Source organism: Homo sapiens, chromosome 9 (assembly GCF_000001405.40).
Source record: "Homo sapiens chromosome 9, GRCh38.p14 Primary Assembly".
NCBI classification, from domain to species: domain Eukaryota; kingdom Metazoa; phylum Chordata; class Mammalia; order Primates; family Hominidae; genus Homo; species Homo sapiens.
This window is the reverse complement of record NC_000009.12, coordinates 34,000,426-34,021,335: the sequence shown is the minus strand read 5'-3', so window position 1 is coordinate 34,021,335 and position 20,910 is coordinate 34,000,426. Positions and strand designations below refer to the sequence as shown.

The window sequence follows — 20,910 nt, the reverse complement described above, 5'->3', positions numbered from 1 at the left end:
GAAATTCTAGATAATTGGTTGTTACTATAATGTAAAAGGCAGTACAATAATATGTCTGTGGCCTTTAGCAAGCCAGTTAATGAAGCTGTTGAAAAAATAAGTTAATATTAGTGCAGCTAACACAGAAAAATGCTTGTCAGACCTTTTCTGGCTAAAATAGGTTTCAGGGACACAATTTTCTTTGGTACCTGAATTAGTATGATGAATTATGGTTAGTCTCCTCTATTTTATTTTATGATACACAGATCAAAAATATGTAGAAATGTTGTAATGTCATTTTATTAATCTGAAATGTATAAGATTTACAAATAGTGGAATATCTTTCCACATCATGGGAATGCTTGCTTTTGGGTGTCTAAAACTGACCGTTCTAGAAAACAGAATTCCGGCCGGGTCCTGTAATCCCACCACTTTGGGAGGCCGAGGCGGGTGGATCACGAGGTCAGGAGATCGCGACCATCCTGGCTAACACGGTGAAACCCCGTCTCTACTAAAAAAATACAAAAAAATTAGCTGGGCTTGGTGGCGGGTGCCTGTAGTCCCAGCTACTCAGGAGGCTGAGGCAGGAGAATGGCGTGAACCCAGGAAGCAGAGCTTGCGGTGAGCAGAGATCAAGCCACTGCACTCCAGCTTGGGTGACTGAGCCAGACTCTGTCTCAAAAAAAAAAAAAGGAAACAGAGTTCCATGTATTGTTAAAATCGTTGGCTCTGGGCCGGCTCAGTGGCACACGCCTGTAATCTCAGCACTTTGGGAGGCCAAGGCTGGTGGATCACCTGAGGCCACGAGTTTGAGACCAGCCTGACCAACATGGCCAAACCCCATCTCTACTAAAAATACCAAAAATTAGCCGGGCATGGTGGCGCGTGCCTCTGGTCCCAGTTATTCGGGAGGCTGAGACAGGAGGATTGCTTGAACCCAGAAGGTGGAGGTTGCAGTGAGCCGAGATCGCACTATTCGTTGCACTCCAGCCTGGGTGATGGAGTGAGACTCTGTCTTAAAAAAAAAAAAATCATTGGCTCTGCATTGTTATCATTGGAGATGATAGCTCTATGTGTTATTGCGCTGAAGACCTTCCAGTGGGACAGATGTGGAGATGGAAGACGGTAGTATTGATGATCCTGACCCTGTGTAGGCCTAGACTAATGTGTGTGTTTATCTCTTAGTTTTTTTTTTTTTTTTTTTTTAATAATGGAGTCTCCCTCTGTCACCCAAGCTGGAGTGCAGTGGGCTCACTGCAACCTCCGCCTCCCAGGTTCAAGCAATTATCCTGCTTCAGCCTCCCTAGTAGCTGGGATTACAGGCGTCTGCCACCATGCCTGGCTAATTTTTGTATTTTTAGTAGAGATGGGGTTTCACCATGTTGGTCAGGCTGGTCTCGAACTCCTGACCTCGTGATCTGCCTGCCTCAGCCTCCCAAAGTGTTAGGATTACAGATATGAGCCACCGCGACCGGCTGCACATTTGTTTTTGTTTTGTTTGTTCTAGGAGCTTCGTAAGAGTGGAATTGTTTGCATAAACAGTTTGTTTCTGATTGATGGGTATATTTCCTCTGTGGAGAATTCCATTTTGGAAATTTAACTTTTAAGGCATTGCTACATGTTTTTCTGTGCGTGTGTGTGTGTGTGTGTGTGTGTGTGTGTGTGTGTAGTAAAATGTACATAACATAAAGTTTATTGTAACCATTGTTACATATACAGTTCTCTGACATTAAGTACATTTACATTGTCGTGCAACCACCACTGCCGTCCATCTTCCGAACCTTTGTATCCTCCCCTACAGAAACTCCATACCTGTGATACAGTAACTCCCCATTCTTCCCCTACCCCCAGCCTCTGGTAACTACCATTCTACTTGTTTCTATGAATTTGACTTTTCTAAGTAACTTGTATAAGTAGAGTCATGTAGTATTTGTCCGTTTTTTTTTACCCCTTGCCCCGAGAGTTTTGCTCTGTCGCCCAGGCTGGAGTGCAGTGGCACTACCTTGGCTCACTGCAACCTCCGCCTCTTGGGTTCAAGCAATTCTCCTGCTTCAGCTTCCTGAGTTGCTGGGATTACAGGTGTGTGCCACCATGCCTGGCTAATTTTTGTATTTTTAGTAGAGACGGGGTTTCACCATGTTGGCCAGGCTGGTCTTGAACTCCTGACCTTGTAATCAATCTACCTGCCTCCTCTTCCCAAAGTACTGGGATTACAGGTGTGAGCCACTGCACCCTAGCCTTATTTGTCCTTTTTTGACTGGCTTATTTCACTTAGCATAATGTCTTTGAGGTGCATCCATGTGGTAGCATGTGTTAGAATATCTTCCCTTCTTAAGGCTGAATAATTTTCCATTGTGTATATATGTCACATTTTGCTTATCCATTCATCTATTGATGGACACTTGGGTATCTTCCACTTTTTGGCTATTATGAATAATGGTGCTTTTTAATTAATTAATTTATTTTTTATTTTTAAAATTTATTTATTTATTTTGAGACGGAGTCTTGCTCTGTTGCCCAGGCTGGAGCGCAGTGGCACGATCTCAGCTCACTGCAAGCTCCACCTCCCGGGTTCACGCCATTCTCCTGCCTCAGCCTCCTGAGTAGCTGGGACTACAGTCGCCCGCCACTACGCCTGGCTAATTTTTTGTATTTTTAGTAGAGACGGGGTTTCACCGTGTTAGCCAGGATGGTCTCGATCTCCTGACCTTGTGGTCCTCCCGCCTTGGCCTCCCAAAGTGCTGGGATTACAGGCGTGAGTGACCGTGCCCGGCCAATAATGGCACTCTTAACATGGAAGTACAAGCATCTCTTTGAGACTCTGCTTTGAGATTTGTTTTTGGTGCCTACCCAGAATTGGAATTGCTGGATCATATGGTAATTTAGTTTTTGATTTTTTTTTTTTAAGGAACCACCATTCTTTTAATGATGGTTGTACCACTTTAAATTCCCATCAGCAGTGCACAAGGGTTCTAGTTTTTGTACATCCTCACCGATGCTTTCTGTGTTTTTAAAATTAAACAAAAAAACAATTATAGTGTTACAGCTCTTTTAGAATTTGTCTAGCAGGTTTTCTGGTCTTTATCGGAAAATTCCCGGCTCTTCTGTCTAAAAAAAAAAAAAAAAATTGTAATCGCTATCCCTAAAGGGTAGGAAGTAGGAATCTTATGGTTATAATTTTTTTTTTTTTTTAAATTGAGGTGGAGTTGTTCTTACAGTGTTGTCTAGGCTGGTCTCAAACTCTTGGGCTCAAGCAGTCTTCCCATCTTAGCCTCAAAATAGCTGGGATTGCAGGTGCATGCCACCGTGCCCAGCTTAGAATCATGTTTTGATGACATACTTAATTATGTGCTTGACACTTAGTAGCTAGTCAATAAATGTTTGTTCAACAAATCAAAGAAAATTATATGCACAATTTTTTTTTTTTTTTGAGACGGAGTCTCGCTCTGTCGCCAAGGCTGGAGTACAGTGACGCGATCTCGGCTGACTGCAACCTCTGCCTCCCGGGTTCACGCCATTCTCCTGCCTTGGCCTCCTAAGTAGCTGGGACTACAGATGCCTGCCACCATGCCCGGCTAACTTTTTTGTATTTTTAGTAGAGACGGGGTTTCATTGTGTTAGCCAGCATGGTCTCGATCTCCTGACCTCATGATCTGCCTGCCTCGGCCTCGTGAATTGCTGGGATTACAGGCGTGAGCCACCGCACCCGGCCACACAATTGTTTCTTTAAGATTTATTATTTACAGCTGACTTTTGCTTTTAGGCATAGCCTGTTTCTTGACACATTTTAAATTGGGCTATTGGCAGGTAAAATCTTGGCTGGGTGCAATGTTGTTTTGGGGTTCAAATAGCAACTGCAAGTAGTAAGAGGCAGATAGCACTTCATGTACAGTGACTACATGTAGTGATAAAATGGTTGCTGGTTAAAATTGGTGGTACTTGAGATTTTTGTTTAGAATTGCTAAGCTCGTAAACCATAGACTTAGATTGCAGTAGTCGAATTGGTTTAACAGATACCAGCAAAATGTAAAATCCTCAAGGGCTACTTCTTGAGAATTTGTATTCCAGAGAGCTTTTATCTTTTATTGTAAGTGTCCTTGTTTTCTCTGAAGTACATGCTTATCTTTTACTATGATTGTTTTGCTTACCATCCCTACTTTCTTGCAGATTTTCTATTTTGTACATACATTATTTTGTATATACTGTATATGATGACTTCAGTGAGCAGTGACCATTGTCGAGGTGCTCGGGAAAAACCACAGATTTCAGCAGCACAATCAACGCAACCACAGAAACAAGTGGTACAGGTAAGTTTTTGTGGAACTCTTTTTTTTTTTTTCCTTTTTTTTCTTTTATTATTATACTTGAAGTTTTAGGGTATGTGGAACTCTTGTTTGCCTTGTTTAGAATTAAGGAAATTAAGGGAGAGCATATGATTTAATGTTTTCCTTTGTAGGAAACTTTAGGATTTTGGACCCTTTGTTTAAACAGTAGGTGATGGCCGGGTGCGGTGGCTCACGCCTGTAATCCCAGCACTTTGGGAGGCCGAGGTGGGTGGATCACTTGAGGTCAGGAGTTTGAGACTAGCCTGGCCAACATTGTGAAACCCTGCCTCTATTAAGAAAATACAAAAATTAGCTGGGCGTGGTGGTGTGCGCCTGTAATCCTAGCTTCTCGGGAGGCTAAGGCAGGAGAATCGCTTGAACTCAGGAGGCAGAGGTTGCAGTGAGCCCAGATCACGCCACTGCCCTCCAGCCTGGGTGACAAAGCGAGACTCCTTCCTAAAAAAAAAAATAAAATAAATAAAAAATAAAAAGTAGGTAATGAAGAATAGTAAGGAAAGAGGTATTGTACTTGATTCAGGTACAATTGGATGTTGTTCCATGAGAACTCTTTAATGCTAACCTTTTCCAGGTACCTCTTAGCTATTAGGCTGCCACTGCCACCACCACCACCACCACCACCACCACCACCACCACCACCACCGCCGCTGCCGCCGCTGCTGCCTCCTCCTCTTCCTCCTCCTCCTCTTCCTCCTTCTCTTCCTCCTCTTCCTCCTCTTCCTCCTCCTCCTCTTCCTCCTTCTCTTCCTCCTCTTCCTCCTCCTCCTCTTCCTCCCCTTCCTCTTCCTCCTCCTCTTCCTCCTATTCCTCCTCTTCCTTCTATTCCTCCTCTTCCTCCTCCTCCTCCTCCTCTCCCCTTTCACCTTGCTCTGCTTCCCTTCCTCCTCCTTCCCTGCTGCTTCATCATCATCTCCTCTCCCTTTTCTCCCTTCTATTAATTTAAGTGTGTCCTTGGAATGAAATATGAAAATCCAAGGTAGATGGAGAACTAATAGTCTGAAGTAGTAAAATACCTGAATTACAATAGACTTTAAAAAGCTGCCTTTGCTGGGCATAGTGGCTCATGTCTGTAATCTCAACACTTTGGGAGGCTGAGGCAAAAGGGTTGCTTGAGCCCAGGAATTAAGAGCAGGCTGGGCAACATAGTGAGGACCTTGTCTCTACAAAAAGTTTAAAAAGTAGCTGGGCATGATGGCTTCCATTTGTAGTCCCAGGTACTTGGGCGGCTGAGGTGGGAGGATCACTTATGATGATGCTACTGCACTCCAGCCTGGGTGACAGAGTGAGACCTTGGCTCAACAAAAAAGCAAAAACCTGCCTTTTCTTCAAAGCACAAGGAAGAGTGCTTGAATCTTAGAATGGCTTTTAATGATCAAGATCCACTTGAGGCCGGGCGCAGTGGCTCATGCCTGTAATTCCAGCACTTTGGGAGGCCGAGGTGGACAGATCACCTGAGATCAGGAGTTCGAGACCAGGCTGGCCAACATGGTGAAACCCTGTCTCTACTAAAAAAAAAAAATACGAAAATTAGCCAGGCATGGTAGTGGGTGCCTGTAATGGCAGTTAGTCGGGAGGCTGAGGCAGGGAGAATTGCTTGAACCCGGGAGGCAGAGGTTGCAGTGAGCCAAGATCACACCACTGCATTCAAGCCTGGGCAACAGAGCGAGACTCTGTCTCAATAAAACAAAGACCCATTTGAATAAAATTTTTAATGTTAAATACTCCCTCCTCCTCAATTTGGTTATATTATTATTTTAAGTGAAGTGAGATAAGTGCTAAGCACAGTACCTGGTGCAAAATTAAGCATTATATACATGTTATTGACTAGATTGGCAAACCCTTTTTCATAGGCAATATGCAAGTAAGTAAACTATATCCAGTTTGTCTTACTTGCAGATTGATTTGACTATACTTTGATAGTTAATTAAAAGTGCTTCTTAAAATCACTCATTTATACCCAAGTGCCCTGTTGATGTTAGGGGACATAGTGAGGAGATTTAAGTGTTGCGTTACATTTTTCAGTATAAAGTTAGTGTAGTATTCTGCTGGTATTAACAGACAGATATCTCTGCTACTCAGTGCTTGATCCTAAATACACTTACTCTGATAGGAATTTATTCACAAACTGATCTAGTCCAGTGATGGAAAAATTTGGAGGTTTTAGGCTAGGTCCTCCTTTTATAGTTGAATTTACTTAGGAAAAAGTTTGCTTAATGAATGGTCTTTTTTTTTTTTTTTTTGAGACGGAGTCTGTCGCAGTGGCCAGTCTCGGCTCACTCCAACCTCCACTTCCCGGGTTCAAGTGATTCTCTTGCCTCAGCCTTCCAAGTAGCTGGGACTACAGGCAGGCAACATCATGCCTGCCTAATTTTTTTTTGTTTCTTCGAGATGGAGTCTCCTTCTGTCGCCCAGGCTGGAGTGCAATGGTGCCATCTCAGTTCACAGCAACCTCCGCCTCCTGGGTTCAAGCGATTCTCCTGCCTCAGCCTCTCAAGTAGCTGGGATTACAGGTGCCTGCCTCCACCTCCAGTTAATTTTTGTATTTTTAGTAGAGACAGGGTTTCACCATGTTGCCCAGCCTGGTCTCCAACACCTGAGCCCAAGTGACTGCCCCCTTAGCCTTCAAAGGTGCTGTGATTATAGGCGTGAGCCACCGCACCTGACCTTTTTTTTTTTTTTTTTTTTTTTTGAGACAGTCTCGCTCTGTAGCCCAGTCTAGAGTGCAGTTACTCTATCTTGGCTCATTGTAACCTCCGCCTCTGGGGTTCAGGCGATTCTCCTGTCTTATCCTCCCCAGCAGCTGGGATTACAGGCGTGAGCCACCATGCCCGGCTAACTTTTTTGCATTTTTAGTAGAGATGAAGTTTCACCATGTTGGCCAGGCTGGTCTCAAACTCCTGACCTCAAGTGATCTGTCCCCCCCTTGATCTCCCAAGGTGTTGGGATTACAGGTGTGAGCCACTGCACCTGGCCCTTTTAAATTTTTTTCTTTTAAACACTAGTATGCATTAGGAAAATTATTGATGTTTATTTATTCATTAATCCTATTCTGGGAAGTATTTGCTAAGAAAGTAATCTTAAATTGGTGTCATAAAAAGTGGCTTTATTTGGCAATTTTTTTCTTTCTTTTTTTTTTTGAGATGGAGCCTCGCTCTGTCGCCCAGGCTGGAGTGCAGTGGCGCGTTCTCAGCTCATTGCAACCTCTGCCTCCTGGGTCCAAGCGATTCTCCTGCCTCAGCCTCTGGAGTAGCTGGGATTGCAGGCATGTATCACCATGCCTGGCTAATTTTTGTATTTTTGGTAGAGACGGGGTTTCGCCGTGTTGGCCAGGCTGGTTTCAAACTTCTGACCTCAGGTGATCCGCCCACCTTGGCCTCCCAGAGTGCTGGGATTAAAGGCATGAGTTACCACGCCCTGCCGGTAAGATGTTAATTACTCAATTTTAAATGTCCAGTGTTATGTTAGAGGTGTTCTGAGATAACCTATTCAGGTTGCATGATGAAAGAGAGTTTTTTATTTTTTGAGACGGAGTTTTGCTCTTGTTGTCCAGGCTGGAGTGCAATGGTGCGATGTCAGCTCACTGCAACCTCTGCCTCCACCTCGCCTGGCTAATTTTTTGTATGTTTGGTAGAGACGGGGTTTCACCATGTTGGTCAGGCTGGTCTTGAATTCCTGACTTCAGGTGATCCACCCAGCTCCGCCTCCCAAAGTGCTGGGATTACAGGCGTGAGCCACTGCAGCAGGTGGTGAGAGTTCTTTTGAATCCGTATAAACCAGGATTTTTGTCCTGGGTCTAGCACTTAGTAATTAGATGAGTTACTTAAATCTCCTTTAACCTCTTTTTTTTTTTTTTTTTTTTTTGAGCTAGAGTCTCACTCTGTTGCCCAGGCTGCAGTGCAGTGGCTTGATCTCGGCTAACGGCAACTGTGCCTCCTGGGTTCAAGTGATTCTCCTGCCTCAGCCTCCAGAGTAGCTGGGACTACACTTGTACATCACCACACCCGGCTAATTTTAGTAGTTTTAGTAGAGAGGGGTTTCACCATGTTGGCCAGGTTAGTCAGTTTTGAATTCCTGACCTCAGGTGATCTGCCCACCTCAGCTTCCCAAACTGCCCGGATTATAGGTGTGAGCCCCTGGGCCTGACCGTGAACCTCAATTTAAAAAAAAAAAAAATACATTGTGAGATTTACGGAAAAGTTGCAATGGGAATATGAATAATTACTGAATACCCTTTTTTCAGATTCCCCAGATTTTAACATTTCTGTCACATCTACTTTATCCTGTTCTCTTCCTTTCCCTACAGTTTATTCCCAGAAACGTTTGACAAGTAGTTGTGAATAAGGTTCTTCTTCACTTAATACCTCAGTGTTTTTTAAAAAACAAGGATCTTTTTACATAATTACAGTACAATTATAAAAAATCAGAACATCTACAGACCATACTTATATTTTTTCAATGGTCCTCATAATGCCTTTTTTTTTTTTTGAGACAGTTTTACTTTGATGCCCAGGCTGTAGTGCAGTGGTGCGATCTCAGCTCACTGCAACCTCCGCCTCCTGGGTTCAAGTGATTCTCCTGCCTCAGCCTCCCGAGTAGCTGGGATTATAGGCATGCGCCACCATGCCTGGCAAATTTTTATATTTTCAGTAGAAACGAGGTTTCGCCATGTTGGCCAGGCTGCTCTCGAACTCCTGACCTTAGGTGATCCGCCTGCCTTGACCTCCCAAAGTGCTGGGATTACAAGCATGAGCCACTGGGCCCAGCTGTAATGTCCTTTTTAGCTAATTAGATTGTGGAATATACATTGTATTCAGATGTCAACTCTCTTGTGAATTTATGTGAAAATTCCACAAAATTATGTGAACATTCCACAATTATGAAGTGATTATAAGAATATTTGAAAATTATGATATAAAATGTCTTAGAAAAGGTATACTTCCTGATCAACTGAAAAAAATATGTAAAGTTAATGCAAAACTGTTGAACATTAATGAGTACAGGCTTAGTAGACTGTTAATGTTTATCTTTGGTGGTGGGCATAAATAATCCTACTTTATTATTATTTCCAATTTTTTTCTGGGTGACAGCTCTAATTAAAAAAAATTTGGATTCATTTGAAAAATTTCACATTTTCCACTGTGAAAGCAGCTTAGTTCGTAATAAGCCATATGAATGGGTAAGAGATCCAGAGGAAGAGCTGTAGTGATGGTACTTTTCTTGGCAAGATATTTTTCAACTTGAGATGTGACCTAGTGTATGTCACTAATGTTTATTGCAGGGGAGGGTGCACTGACCTTGTTTAACTTAAGAATTACCAGTTGATCCTGATTTTTCCTCTTTTTTCCCAAGCTGTACCGACCTCTTGACACTTCCTAGAGCTCAGCCTGGTAACTTCCCTATTATACTCTTATGTTTGGTGCTTTGTTTATCAAATATTTATTGAATTGTTTATCAAAGAAAATTATTTTTTTCTTGACTCAGGGTATTTTATAAAGTTAAAAAAAATACTTAAAGTTCTCATTAAAATTTATTTTCATAAATATGCTAGCACTAGTGTTACTATATTGTTATTGTTAAATGACTATTATGTGTATTGGCTATGCTTTCAGAAGTAGTCTGTCTATCCCTTTTATGAATAAAAAAGATATTACTGAAGAGAAATACAGTATTTGTGTCATATAATACTTAAGCTGAAAAAGCTAAGTCTGAATAAATCAGTCATTGGCATTTACCTTACATATGGCAATGAATAGTGACTTTATAGTTAGAAATGTATGGGTGAAACAGTATCAGAATGATAATGTAGAAACATATATAAGCCCCAGACTGCCCCCTACAGCAAAATGCGATTATTAATAACTATTCTGCTTGAAATATTTGGTGAGATTCTTTCACCCATCAAGTGCTTGTTTGTTAATATTTTAATCGGGTCGGTGTTTCTTTGGTTTTGTAAATTGTGCACGTTTACAAAGCACTGGCTGTTCTCAGGCAGTTTTCAAGTTTAAATATTCTTGCCTTTAGGGTCATTATTTGTTCCTGGTTCCCCCACTCTGCCATTACTTTTTCATACTTTTTCCACAAAGATTTCAGCCATACTCCCTGACTTTGGTTTATCTTCTACTCTGACATATCTGCATGAAGTAGTTTCTGTCTGAAATGTCTTGAAACCAGGGATGTTCTTATAATAATACTTACTGTGCAGTGAGTGGATAGCCACAAGTAATCCATAATTTTACTTTTTAAAAAAAAATGTTTGTTGTAGCTCCTGTTTAACACATCTACCACCCCAAGCCGCCGCCTGTACTCCTTTTCTGTCTGCCAAAATCCCTCCCCACAATGCTTTATTATGAAAATGGTCACAGATGAAGAAAAGTTGAGAGTTGTACAGTCAATATCCATATGTTCTATTACCTTTTTGCTCTATTTGTTTTATCACATCTGTTTAGCCAGCCATTATTTTATCTAAGTTTTTAATGCTTTTCAAAGTGAATTAAATGATTAATGGTACTCTTAATCACTTCAGAATGGATGTCATTGACTAGGGTGTATTATTTGTTTATTGTCTTTTTTTTTTTTTTTTTTTTTTATGAGGCAGAGTTTCTGCCCTTGTTGCCTAGGCTGGAGTGCAGTGGCGCGATCTGGGCTCACTGCAACCTCCATCTCCCAGGTTCAAGTGATTTTCCCACCTCAGCCTCCTGAGTAGCTGGGATTACAGGCACCTGCCATCATGACTGGCTAATTTTTCTATTTTTAGTTGAGACGGGGTTTCACCATGTTGGCCAGGATGGTCTCAAACTCCTGACCTCAGGTGATCTGCCCGCCTTGACCTCCCAAAGTGCTGGGATTACAGGTGTGAGCCACTGTGCCTGGCTGTTTTTTTTTTTTTTTTTTAATAGACAGGACCTCGGGCTGGGCGTGGTGGCTCATGCCTGTAATCCCAGCACTTTGGGAGGCCAAGGCAGGTAGATCACCTGAGGTCAGGAGTTTGAGACCAGCCTGACCAAGATGGAGAAACTCCGTCTCTACTAAACATACAGAATTAGCCAAGCATGGTGGCACATGCCTGTAATCCCAGCTACTTGGGAGGCTGAAGCAGGAGAATCTCTTGAACCCAGGAGGCGGAAGTTGCGATGAGCAGAGATCCCACCATTGTACTCCAGCCTGCACAACAAGAGCGAAACTCTGTCTCAAAAAAAAAAAAAAAAAAGGAAATATAAGTCATTTATTTTTCATTTGTTACATGGAATATTTACATAGATTGTTTCCTGCTGGGCATGGTGGCTTACTCCAGTAGTCCCAGCAGAGGTGGGAGGATTGCTTGAGTCCAGGAGTTCGAGACCAGCCTGAGTAACGTAGTGAGACCTGTCTCTACAAAAATTACAAACTTCTTATACTGTATGGTAGGATAAGTGCTTGAATCTATTGGCTTACCAATTAATAAAAAAACATTTTGAACCGGGACATGGTGGCTAACACCTGTAATCTCAACACTTTGGGAGGCTGAGGTGGGAGGATTGTTTGAGCTCTGGAGTTCAAGACCATCCTGGGCCAAGTAGCGAGACCCTGTCTCCATAAAAAATATTTTTTAAAAAATTTATAAGAAAAAAACCTTTTTGGCCAGGTGTGGTGGCTTGCGTCTGTAATCCCAGCACTTTGGGAGGCTGAGACGGGTGGATCACCTGAGGCCAGGGGTTCGAGACCAGCCTGGCCAACATTACAAAACCCCATCTCTACTAAAAATAGAAAAATTAGCTGGCCGTGGTGGTGTGCACCTGTAATCCCAGCTACTTGAAGGGTGAGGCACAAGAATCACTTGAACCCAGGAGGCAGAGGTTGCAGTGAGCCGAGACTGTGCCACTGTGCTCCAGTGTGGGCGACAGAGCAAGATTCTGTCTCAAAAAAAAAACAAAACAAAACACCAAATTTTTAGGGAAAAATTATTTTGGAATAATTTTAAGAGTTGTAAAAAAGTTGCAAAGAACGATAGAGATAGAGATATATTCACCCCGCTATCCTAAATGTTAACTTTTTTTTTTTTTTTTTTTTTTTTTTGAGACAGTCTCGCTGTGTCGCCAGGCTGGAGTGCAGTGGCGTGACCTTGGCTCACTGCAACCTCTGCCTTGTGGGTTCAAGCCATTCTCCTGCCTCAGCCTCCAAAGTAGTTGGGACTACAGGCGCACACCACTGTGCTCAGCTAATTTTTGTTTTTTCAGTAGAGACGGGGTTTCACCATGTTGGCCAGGATGGTCTCGATTTCTTGACCTTGTGATCCGCCTGCCTCAGCCTACCAAAGTGCTGGGATTACAGGCAGGAGCCACTGTGCCTGGTCAGCTTTTTACATAAAGGATTGCCTAACCTTTTCTGTAAAGTGTTAGTATATATCTTACGCTTTGCAGTCCAGACACAATCTCTGTTGCATTTTGATTTTATTACATTTTTGAGACGGGGTCTCATGTTGGCCAGGCTGGTCTGGAACTCCTGACCTCAGGTGATCCGTCTGCCTCAGCCTCCCAAAGTGCTGAGATTACAGGCCTGAGCTACTGCACCCAGCTGATGACAGAGTTTTTGACTTCTTTTGTGTTATGTCTTATTGCTTCCACACACCATCCTGGTTCAAAGGGAACCAGAAGGTGGTAGAATTAGATTATCCCAAAATTACTCATTTTCTGTGTCCCACTTTTTTTTTTTTTTTTTTGAGACGGAGTTTCGCTCTTGTTGCCCACGCTGCAGTGCAATGGCGCGATCTTAGCTCACCGCAACCTTCGCCTCTTGGGTTCAAGCAGTTTTCCTGTCTCAGCCTCCCAAGTAACTGGGATTACAGGCATGCGCCACCATGCCCGGCCCGGCTAATTTTGTATTTGTATGTGTATTTTTGTTTTTTGAGACGAGTCTCACTCTGTCGCCATGCTGGAGTGCAGTGGCGCGATCTCGGCTCACTACAACCTTCGCCTCCCAGGTTCAAGCGATTCTCCTGCCTCAGCCTCTGGCCCTCTTTTAAAATAATTGGTCACTAGGACGGTTCAGCATATGCAACTCAATGAACAGGATACATCTCATTAAGAAAAACAAGGACAGGCCAGTGCGGTGGCTTATGCCTGTAATTGCAGCACTTTGGGAGGCCGAGGCGGGCAGATCATGAGGTCAGGAGATAGAGACCATCTTGGCTAACAAGGTGAAACCCCGACTCTATTATAAATGGAAAAAAAAATTAGCCGGGAGTGGTGGCGGGTGCCTGTAGTCCCAGCTACTCGGGAGGCTGAGGCAGGAGAATGGCGTGAATCGGGGAGGCAGAGCTTGCAGTGAGCCGAGATCACTCCACTGCACTCCAGCCTGGGCAACAGAGCGAGACTCAGTCTCAAAAAAAATAAAAATAAAACATACAAGGACAAAAAACATATGATCATTTCAATAAACGCTGAAAAATGTATGTGAAAAAATTCAACATCCCTTTGTGGTAAAGATTATCAACAACCTGAGTGTGGAAGGAACATACCTCAAAATAATAAAGGCTATTTTTTTTTTTTTTTGAGACAGGGTCACCCAGGCTGGAATATAATGATGCGAACATGGCTCACGGTAGCCTTGACCCCCCTAGGCTCAAGAGATCCTTCTGCCTCAGCCTCTCGGGTAGCTGGGACTAATGGTGTGCACTTCCATACTTGGCTAATGTTTTATTTTTTGAAGAGACAGCGTCTCACCAAGTTACCCACAGGGCTGGTTTCAAACTCTTAGGCTCAAGGGATCCACCTTCCTCAGCCTCCCAAAGTGTTGGGATTACAGGCGTGAGTCACTGCACCTGGCCTCACTTGAGTACTAGAACTTCTAGCCAGAGCAAATAGGCAAGAGAAGGAAATAAAGGGGTCTAGATTGCAAAGGAAGAAGTCACATTATATTCTTATTTATAGATGACATGTTGTATTTAGAAAAACCTAAAAACTCCATCAAACATCTGTTAGAACTGAGAAATGAATTCAGTGAAGTTGCAGGATACAAAATCAACAACAAAAATTAGCCTTTATATATATCAACAGCAAAACAGTTGTACTCTGTCTACATTGTTCAGGTACTCATTATATAGTATATGCTTCTCCTTTGGCCATTTAGTAAATAATATGTTCAGTAGTCACTGTCAATACTTAAGTCAGTTTCTCTAGTCGTTTTGATTGTCTGAACCCATTGCTTTTGTTGATTCCTCTGAAAGGAATTATGAGAACAATATTCCTTGTGTTTGGTGGTGTTCACAATTTATACCTTTTATACTTGAGTAGAACATCAGTTTTGTTGGCTCTAAGTGCTAGGCCCACATTTTCTTTACGTTATCTTTTTTTTTTTGAGACAAGGTCTCACTTTGTCACCCAGACTGGAGTGCAGTGGCACGGTCATGCTCACTGCTCCCTTCTCCCTTGACCTCCTGGACTCAGATAATCCTCCTACCTCAGCCTCTTGAGTAGCTGGGAGCACAGGTGCATGCCACCACACTGGTTAATTTTTGTATTTTTTTGTAAAGGGTTTTGTTGTGTTGCACAGGCTGGTCTCAAACGCCTGAGCTCGAGCAATCTGCCTGCCTCAGCCTTCTGAACTGCTGGAATTACAGGTGTGAACTGCTGTACCTGACTATCTTAAATATTAATTTTTTCTTGCGCAAAGCATTGCTCTTGACAAGTTTGTTGATATTCTAATTTCATTCTCTTCTGTGTCTCTTGACATTTCTGCCTAGTTGTCCAGTGGATGTTTGTTCTTTTAGAGTCCAGTTCTTCTTCTTTTTTTTTTTTTTTCTTTTTGAGATGAGTCTCACCCTGTCTCCCAGGCTGGAGTGCAATGGTGCGATCTCGGCTCACTGCAACCTCTGGCCTCCCGGGTTCAAGCGATTCTCCTGCTTCGGCTTTCCAAGTAGCTGGGATTACAGGTGCACGCCACCATGCCCGGCTAATTTTTTTGTATTTTTAGTAGAGATGGGGTTTCACTGTGGTGGCCAGGCTGGTCTTGAACTCCTGACCTCAAGTGATCTGCCCGCCTCAGCCTCCCAAAGTGCTGGGATTATAGGCATGAGCCACCACGCCTGGCCAGAGTCCAGTTCTTAAACTAAAGAATAAGAATGTCTTAGTGTGGACTGATTATTTAGGGATTGATATTCTCAAGGACGGTGTATTTTCATTGACATATTTATGCATTTTTTGGTTTGTTTTCCAGACATTTTTCTTAAATTTTAGTTTTAAGGCTCTATACTGTATTTTTATTCTTTGGAGGCTTATTGTCCATAGCTTTAAGTTGGGTTGTCTTTTGCCTATCTTCAGTGTTTGACACTTTGCTTTCTTTTCTCCCATTCCTATTTATCTCTTCATTTCTCTTTCCTTTTATTTCCTTTTTACAGGAAAAAAATTTCCCCAGTTTTATTCTCTGTTATTCTTGAGACATTAATTGTTAAGTTTTATATTCCTTGTAGTTTAGACTCCATTTTCATATGTGATAGGACTTTCTTTAAATTATTATTTCTTGAATTCTGTAATTTAAAGAAGAAATAGAAAAACTTAGAGATATGTTATTCTTTTATCAGATTTTTTTTTTTTTTTTTTTTTTTTGAGACAGGGTCTTGCCCTGGCTTCCAGGCTGGAGTGCAATGGCATGATCTAGGCTCACTGCACCCTCTGCCTCCCAGGTTCAAGCGATTCTCACACCTCAGCCTTCCAGGTAGCTGAGACTACAGGTATGCGCCACCATGCCTGGCTAATTTTTTTTTTTTTTTTTTTTCTTGAGACACAGTTTCACTCTGCTGCCCAGGCTGGAGTACAGTGGTGAGATCTCAGCTCACTGCAACCTCCGCCTCTCGGGTTCAAATGATTCTTGTGCCTCAACCTCCTGAGTAGTTGGGATTTCAGGCTCGTGCCACCACGCACTGCTAATTTTTGTATTTTTAGTGTAGACGGGGTTTCACCATGTTGGCCAGGCTGGTCTTGAACTCCTGACCTCAAGTGATCCGCCTGCCTCAGCCTCCCAAAGTGCTGGGATTACAGGCCTGAGCTACCATGCCCGACTGTTGTTTTCAATGGGATTTAAGAAAAAGGTGATGCAAGAAGTGTCTGATTTTTAAATGTTTTACAGAGATGGGGGTCTCACTATGTTGCCCAGGCTGGTCTCCTCCTGACTCAGCCTCCCAAAGTGCTGGGATTATAGGCGTGAGTCACCGTGCCCAGCCTTAAAATTTACTTTTTTTTTCCCTATTTTTTTTTTTGGAGACAGAATCTCGCTCTTTTGCCCAGGCTGGAGTGCAGTGGCGCTATCTCGGCTCACTGCAAGCTCCGCCTGCCAGGTTCACGCCATTGTCCTGCCTCAGCCTCCCGAGTAGCTGGGACTACAGGTGCCCGCCACCACGCTCGGCTAATTTTTTGTATTTTTTTAGTAGAGACGGGGTTTCACCGTGTTAGCCAGGATGGTCTCGATCTCCTGACCTCGTGATCCACCCGCCTTGGCCTCCCAAAGTGCTGGGATTATAGGCGTGAGCCACTGCGCCCAGCCTTTTTTTTTCCTTTTTTTGTGACCAGGTTGTTCTGTCACACAGGCTGGAGTGCAGTGGCGCCATCTTGGCTCACTGCAACCTTGACCTCCTCGGGCTAAGGTGATCCTCCCACCTTAGCCTCTGGGGTAGCTGGGACTACAGCACTTACCACCACACTTGGCTAGTTTTTCTGTTTTTTTGTAGAAATGAGGTTTTGCAGTCTTAATAGTGAGCTAAGAAATAAAAATTACACCAAATATAGACCATTTTAAGTAATTAAAAAGTTTTAAAAGCTTTTTTAAAAAGTTCATTATGCCCGTTTTGGGAAAGGTTTTGAGGAGGCAGGTTCTCTTATTTACTGCTCGTTGAGTATATATCTTTATAGCCTTTGTGCAGAGCATTTTTGTGGAGATGGTTTTAAACTCCTTTTAACACTGGTAGACATTTCTTTGACCCTATAGTTTTACTTCTTTGTATTCATTGTTAGAAAGCTATATTTGGGGCTGGGCGTGGTGGCTCATACCTGTAATCCCAGCACTTTGGGAGGCCGAGGTGGGCGGATCACCTGAGGTCAGGAGTTTGAGACCAGCCTGATCAACATGATGAAACCCTGTCTCTACTAAAAATACAAAAATTAGCCGGGCATTGTGGCATGTGCCTGTAATCCCAGCTACTCAAGAGGCTGAGACACTAGAATTGCTTCAACCTGGGAAGTGGAGGTTGCAGTAGCCAAGATCGCACCACTGCACTCCAGCCTGGGCAACAAGAGTGAAACTCTGTCTCAAAAAAAAACAAAAGAAAGAAATCTTTCTTTGGCCGTGTGTGGTGGCTCACGCCTGTAATCCCAGCACTTTGGGAGGGCAAGGCAGGAGGGTCATTTAAGGTCAGGAGTTCAAGACCAGCCTGAATAACATGGTGAAACCGCATCTGTACTAAAAATAGTAAAAATTAGCTGGGTGTGGTGGCGAACACCTGTAATCTCAGCTACTGGGGAGGCTGAGGCTGGAGAATCGCTTGAACCTGGGAAGCGGAGGTTGCAGAGAATCCCTTGAACCTGGGAGGCGGAGGTTGCAGTGAGTCGCGATCACGCCACTGCACTCCAGCCTGAGCAGCAGAGCATGACTGTCTCAAAAAAAAAAAAAAAAGCCATCTTTGATGTATGTACAGATTTGGGTATAAGAATGGACCTCAGCCTGCCACAGTGGTGCATACCTGTAATCCCAGCACTTTGGGTGGCCAAGGTGGGCAGATCACTCGAGGTCAGACGTTCAAGACCAGCCTGACCAACATGGTGAAACCCCGTCTCTACCAAAACCAAAAATTAGCAGGGCGTGGTGGCATGCCTGTAGTCCCAAGCATGAGAATTGTTTGAACCTAAGAGGCGGAGGTTGCAGCGAGCCGAGAGCACACTACTGCAAGGCAACAGAGGGAGACTTCGTCTCAAAAAAAGAAAAAAAAAAACAACGAAAGAAAAGAATGGATCTCTGGCAGTGTTTTAGTAGTAATAAAAATTTGCAGAGTAAGAAAGATATAGGCCGGGCACTGTGGTTTATGCCTGTAATCCTAGCGCTTTGGGAGGCTGAGCAGAGGAATTGCTTAAGCTCGGGGGGTTCAATATTAATCTGGGCAACATGGCGGAACCTTGTTTGTACTAAAAACAAAACATTAACCAGGTGTCGTGTTGTGCGCCTGTATTCCCAGCTATTGGGGGAAATTATGGGGGGTGGAGTGCGTGAGGTGGGAGGATTGCTTGAGCCTGGGAGGCAGCTGTAGTGAGCACTGATTGTGCCATTGCACTCCAGCCTAGCCGACACAATGAAACCCTAGCTTAAAAAAAAGATGTTAAGGCTGGGCGGGTGGCTCACACCTGTAATCCCAGCACTTTGGGAGGCCGAGGTGGGCGGATCATGAGGTCAGGAGTTCGAGACCAGCCTGACCAACATTGTGAAACCCGTTCTCTACTAAAAATACAAAAATTAGCCAGGCGTGGTGGCATGCACCTGTAATCCTAGCTATTCAGGAGGCTGAGGCAAGAGAATCGCTTGAACCTGGGAGATGGAGGTTGCAGTGAGCCGATATCGCGCCATGCACTCCAGCCTGGGCGACAGAGCGAGACTCTGTCTCAAAAAAAAAAAAAAAAAAAGCACCTATGCAGTGGATTGTCATGTAGCATTAAACGTGATATAGATATTCATAATAAATTGTGTCTGTGAGTGATTCCACATGGTAGTATGTTAAGTATTCTGTTTTTGATAAAAGAGGAAAATAGCCAAGTGTGGTGGCTCATGCCTATAATTCCAGCTCTTTGGGAGGCAGAAGTAGGAGGATTGCTTGAGTTCAGGAGTTTGAGACCAGCATGGGCAACACAGTGAGACCTTGTCTTTATGAAAATAACAACAACAAATTAGCCAGGCATGGTGGCTGCCATGGTTGCTACTCAGGAGGCTGAGGTCAGAGGAGTGCTTGAGCCTGGGAGGTCGAGGCCATGGTGAGCTGTGATTGTGCCACTGCATTCCAACACAGAGTGAAACCCTGTTTTTTTGTTTTTTTTTTTTAATGAAAAAATATAAATACCAAATACATAAATAGTTTTGGTGTTAGATGGTCACTTTATGGATTTTTCAATTTTTCTTGTGTTTGACTTGTAAAGCTTATAATTTAAGAAACTGTAATGATGGGAAGGGATGAGCATCAGTGGTGCTTGGATTGGAACAAGGCTACCTGAATCTGCTGGTATGGTACATTTTTTAGGTTTGAAACACAGGGAGCAGAAAATAATAGTGTTAGGGAAAACAGGCAAACTCTTCATACAGGCTTCTTGCAACAGGGACACTAACAGTCTACTTTCATTTTGTGAAAATTGATTATATGAATTGGAGTTATCTTGTCATACCCAACTAAATTTAGAGTCAGTGGACCAAGGGTTACGGTAAAAAAGTGCTTGGGGCACAAACCGCTTGCCCAGGGATTATATTGCAGGCCAGCTGCCACAATGACATGCTGTAACCTTAAATCCAGTTTTACCTACTAGCTGTTGAGATGAACTCTTGTGACTCTAAGTCTAGTTTTACCAACCGTGTTCACTCACCAATCAGAGCTTACCAGCTCCCAAAAGCTTTAGTAGTTCCAGTGAGTTTTCTTTCAAAACAATAGGTCACATTTCTTTTTCTAATAAAACTCCCAACCTTCTTTGTGTTCTTTGGACACACTAGGAGGCTACCCTAGTATGTGTATGTATGTATGTCCTGGATTGCAATCCTACTTATATATTCTTTCTAAATAAAACCTTTTTTACTTAGAGATTTGTTTCTCTCTATATTTTTGACTTTAACAGTTCATAACAAGTTGTCATTACTCCAAACCCAAATGTATAATGTGGAAATGCCATCTTTTAAAAACCCATCTCTCCCTTTGCTTTTCCCTTTTACTTCATCTAGTTGTCATGACAGTGGTGCTCTTGGCTGTGGCACTGGGACTTATTGGTTGGTTATGATTCAGGAAAATGATTGTCTGATTTAGGGATAGTGAGAGTATATGTAAGGTCCTTACATTTACAGGGAACAATTGAGGTAAGATTTTCAGTAAGGGTAGACACTGAATTTCTGTACCAATGTCTTTTTGGGTATAATGTAGCAGTATTGCAGCAGTTAAACTGAGGTCTCAGCAGGCATAGGTTGGGATGAACAGGCCAAAGCACCTGGAGTTTGTATAATCACCCACCCACATGGCCTGGAAAGGCCTTTTGAAAAGTGCTTTAAAATGCAAAAAATGTCAACAACTCCCACTTATCCCACTTCAGTCAAGATTATTTGAAATGAGTGTATATAAAAAACTCAGAATAAAAGCTGTTTATTAGTTCCTTATGGCTTTTCTTCCTCTAAGATCTTTTTGTAAACTGTTAAGCTTTTTAAATATTTGTGTTGGGAGTTAGTATAGACTTGGTTAGCGAGGCAACTTAAACTATTTTGGAGTAATTTTAGATTTAATAGACCGTTGTACAGAGATGATACAGATTGTTCCTGTATATTCCTCACCTAATTTCCCTGTTGTAATAATTACGGTACCTTCGTTAAAACTAAGAAACCAGACTGGCAC

At 42.9% G+C, this 20,910-nt stretch overlaps 1 protein-coding gene and 1 pseudogene across 9 annotated transcripts in view; both read left to right on the top strand.

Annotated features, from left to right (window-relative positions):
• The window catches only part of UBAP2 (ubiquitin associated protein 2), a 127,507-nt gene that overhangs the window by 27,864 nt on the left and 78,733 nt on the right, over positions 1-20,910 (top strand). For 5 of the 9 annotated variants that reach the window (NM_001370059.2, NM_020867.2, NM_018449.4 and 2 more), the window contains exon 2: positions 4,147-4,286. The exons of 2 other annotated variants lie outside the window; for them this stretch is intronic. In NM_001370059.2, the coding sequence (NP_001356988.2) occupies positions 4,188-4,286 (99 nt within the window). In that variant the 5' untranslated portion in view covers positions 4,147-4,187. Of the gene's footprint in view, positions 1-4,146; positions 4,287-9,671; positions 9,710-20,910 lie in introns of all 9 variants that reach the window. 2 more of the 9 variants (NM_001370064.2, NM_001370066.2) reach the window with 1 other exon arrangement.
• RNU7-36P (RNA, U7 small nuclear 36 pseudogene) lies at positions 3,016-3,070 on the top strand (annotated as a pseudogene).